Source organism: Homo sapiens, chromosome 3, assembly GCF_000001405.40.
Source record: "Homo sapiens chromosome 3, GRCh38.p14 Primary Assembly".
Lineage (NCBI taxonomy): Eukaryota > Metazoa > Chordata > Mammalia > Primates > Hominidae > Homo > Homo sapiens.
This window is the reverse complement of record NC_000003.12, coordinates 158,540,557-158,544,182: the sequence shown is the minus strand read 5'-3', so window position 1 is coordinate 158,544,182 and position 3,626 is coordinate 158,540,557. Positions and strand designations below refer to the sequence as shown.

The following is a 3,626-nucleotide window of genomic DNA, read 5'->3' as shown; positions in this document are numbered from 1 at the left end:
CTGAAATAAGAAAAGAAAAAGAAAAAATGTTACTGTCTCCCAATAACTTGAATTTGACCTAAAATGACAGAACTCACCTTTGTAGAATATATCTCTCAACACAAGATTTGGATACTGTTTAACTCTTGATGACCTCTTAATTGATGACTATCTATTTGGAATTAGTAATGCTCAGAAATTCTTGGAGTAAAAGAACTACTAGTATCAACATCATTGCTTAACAATTTTGTACCTTATATTTGTGAAGTTTATTTCCTATAACTTTTCCAAAACAGCAGAATTACAACATTTCATGGAAGACAGCAAAGTATGATGTTAGTGATGTGCTCACTGATAATGAACAAAGTAGAGCTCAGAAATGGAACTTTTAGTGCTAGATTTTTAAACAAACACTTCTCATGGTGCTGATCAATTCAGCTAAAAAAAAAAAAAAGGAAAAAATGCTTCTCTTTGTCTATTTTTCTTAACCATAGACAGAATACTTCTACAGGTTAGGCAACATGAGTTGGACCCTACTGTATTCAAATATAGATAACAGTTCTAAAGGCCTGGGGGCCAGATGCCTATTTTTAGCAAGGGAATATGAACCTGTTTCCTCCAATGGTCTCCTTGGTGTTAGCACAAAAGGATAACAGATTGAAATAATTTCAGTAAATTAGACTTCAACTGACATTCGTAAAGTTTAAGGATATTACATTTGGATGGGCCAGGGAATTGTCATCTTGGTACTTGATAGCAGTAGGGATGCTGGTAGGATCTATTTCTTTTTCAGTACTGGGTGGATCAGCAACTGCTGATGCTGGTCCTGATGTTGAAGTTGCTTGTTTCACTTCACTAGGTTCCACTGACTGAAAGAAACAACACATATTAATTTCAACACAATACACAATTAGAGTTTTACTTCAAAAATATTTCTGATTTTGAATAACAACTGTTCAATTAGTCTCCTTTGAGATGATACCCATCTCCAAAAAGGCCCTACTTTTTGTATTTGTTTGTTTTAGAAATACAGTTATTTTATTTTTATATTTGTTTGTTTAGGAATAACTATATTTAGGAATATAGTTATAGATATATAGAAATAGAATATAGGAATAACTATATTGTATTTGTTTTAGGAATAACAAATAGAAAAATGCTGAGAAAATGTCAATCATTTCTTATGATAAGCACATTTTTCTTAAGAAATTGGTACTTACGTGCCTATACTATTGAAATATACATATATTTCATATATCTAAATTCTATTAATCAAAACAAGCTTACAACAAATATCCAACATTTAGTTGGCCAATTTAGGTATGAAAAGTAAATTCAAAGGTTATCTTTAGAAAAATAGCCTTATTGAGTTATAGAATTCATATACCATACAATTTACCCTTTTAAAGTACATAATTCAATGGCTTTTCACATATCCATGGAGTTGTGCAATTATTACCAGAATCAACTTTAGAACATTTTCATCATCCCCCACAAAACCTCATACCATTAGCAATCATTCCCCATTCCTTCCAACCTTTCCATCCTAGGTAACAATTAATCTTCTTTCTCTATGGATTTGCCTATTCTAGACATTTCAGATAAAAGGAATCATACAATATGTGGTCTTTCATGACTGGTTCTTTCATTTAGCATAATTTTTTCTTTTGAGACAGAGTCTTACTCTGTCACCCAGGTGGGAGTGCAGTGGCACAATCTTGGCTCACTGCAACCTCTACCTCCTAGGTTCAAGTGATTCTCCTGCTTCAGCCTCCCGAGTATCTGGGATTACAGGTGCACACCACCATGCACACTCGGCTAATTTTTGTATTTTCAGTAGAGACGGTGTCTTGCCATGTTGGCCAGGGTGATCTCGAACTCCTGTCCTCAAGTGATCAGCCCGCCTTGGCCTCCCAAAGTGCTAGGATTACAGGCGTGAGCCACCGTGCCCAGCCACATAATGTTTTTAAGGTTCATCCATGTTGCAGCATGTATCAGTACTTCATTATTCTTTATTGCTAAATAATGTCCCATTGTATGGATCTACCACATTTTATTTATCCATTCATCAGTTGATGAACTCAAAGGTTGTCTCGGAGCTACTTAAAATATTAAAATATATATATAAAAGTTTGAAAAAAAGGTACGATGTATCTTTGGCAAAAAATAAAACTCTAGGATTTCTTATACCATCATGCAAACCATAGACTCCCAATTTATTCCACCTTTACTGAGTATTCACCAGGTGCGATACACTGTACCAAGTGCTGGGGATACAACTAATAAATCATTGTTTCTGCCTTGAAGGAGCCAGCAGAGTAGTGCTTACTTAGTTACATTTCAGTAGCTTCTTCCCTAAGAAAGAAGGCCAAGGAGTGACTGATTAGCAGTAAGGTTACAGGGATAATATGAAATGGATTAGATCAGAAGCTGAAATTAAAAAGTAAAATTAAAAAAAAACAAGATGAATAGGAGATTGTTATGTAGCCTTTTTTATACCCATTTGTTCCACACCTATTGTTTTTCAATTTCCATTTATTTTAACTTATCTATAATTCTGAACATTTCACTTCTCTGAACAAAGCCAAAAACAGATGTCACTAAGAAAAATATACAGAGGATAAAATATGCATGAATTAAACTGTTCTTAGGTTAATTTGTTTTAGAGTTGGAGATCCATTTATTTAACCAGTATTTATTGAGCACTACTAATTGCTAAGCACTGGGTACACAGGCAGAATCAAATAGATATGGTTCCTGTCCCAAGTGGCAATTATATGTTGCTAATGGAGTTGACAGATTATAAACAAATAAATTCCAAAATAATGCATAATCACAAATTGTAGTATGTGCTATAAAGGACTATACAAGGTGCTGACAAAGAATGATGGGGATCAGGAAGGGAAAAACATCTACTTTAGATTGGGTGGCTAGAGATGGCTTCTCTAGGAGGTGAAATTTAAGCCCTGAAGACTTAGAAGGAGCCAGGCAGGTGAAAAGGAAGAATGGTTCTCTGGCCAGAGGGAAAAGACAAAGATCCTGAGAGAGAAGGGCTTGGTGTCTTTGAAGATCAGAAAAAAGGCCAGAGGGGCTGGTGTATAGTGAGCAAAAAGACAGTGAGACACTGCAGGCCAGAACTTGGGGTATTTCTTCCTTAACACAGCCACATCACCACTCTGCATGGGTATCACTTCCCAGCACCACAGCAGGAAAGTGCCCTCATACAGAAAGCTGGGTAACTGTGGGGCTCACCTTTTATTTCCCTTCTCCAAAGGATCACCCTCCTGAGCTGCCTATTGTTACATTCCTGAAAACAATGTCTTACACATCTTGTCAAGTTCTATAGCTGTTTATGGTGGGAGGGCAAATTTGGTACCAGTTATTCTGTAATGGTCAGATGGTCAGTAAAGTCTAATTATTCTTGAAAAATATTGTTTTGGCTGCTGAATGGGTCCTGGACTAGATAAATGCAAAAGGAAAATCAGGAAGAACAACCAGAGGGCTACTATAAAAGTTAAAGAATGAGATGATGATGTGGATTTAAATGGTGGCTGTGGATTGTGAAGAGGAGACAAGTTATGAGCTATTTTGGGGATGATGATATCAAGATCCACTTTTTTTTTTTAAGGCATGTGTTTTATTCAATT

The 3,626-nt window shown here is 35.7% G+C and overlaps 1 protein-coding gene across 4 annotated transcripts in view, besides 1 other annotated feature; it reads right to left on the bottom strand.

Annotated features, from left to right (window-relative positions):
- RSRC1 (arginine and serine rich coiled-coil 1) overlaps positions 1–3,626 on the bottom strand; it is a 435,642-nt gene that overhangs the window by 1,548 nt on the left and 430,468 nt on the right. For all 4 annotated transcript variants that reach the window (NM_001271838.2, NM_016625.4, NM_001271834.2 and 1 more), the window contains one exon: positions 696–848. In NM_001271838.2, the coding sequence (NP_001258767.1) occupies positions 696–848 (153 nt within the window). The remainder of the gene's footprint in view (positions 1–695; positions 849–3,626) is intronic.
- Positions 1,606–1,823: a silencer, noted in NCBI's record as "fragment chr3:158260149-158260366 (GRCh37/hg19 assembly coordinates)". NCBI's record gives its function as "represses an EF-1alpha promoter that drives an FKBP-Casp9 reporter gene in an ReSE screen in phorbol 12-myristate 13-acetate-treated (for megakaryocytic differentiation) K562 erythroleukemia cells {active_cell/tissue: K562(+PMA)}" and the evidence as "EXISTENCE:reporter gene assay evidence [ECO:0000049][PMID:32094911]".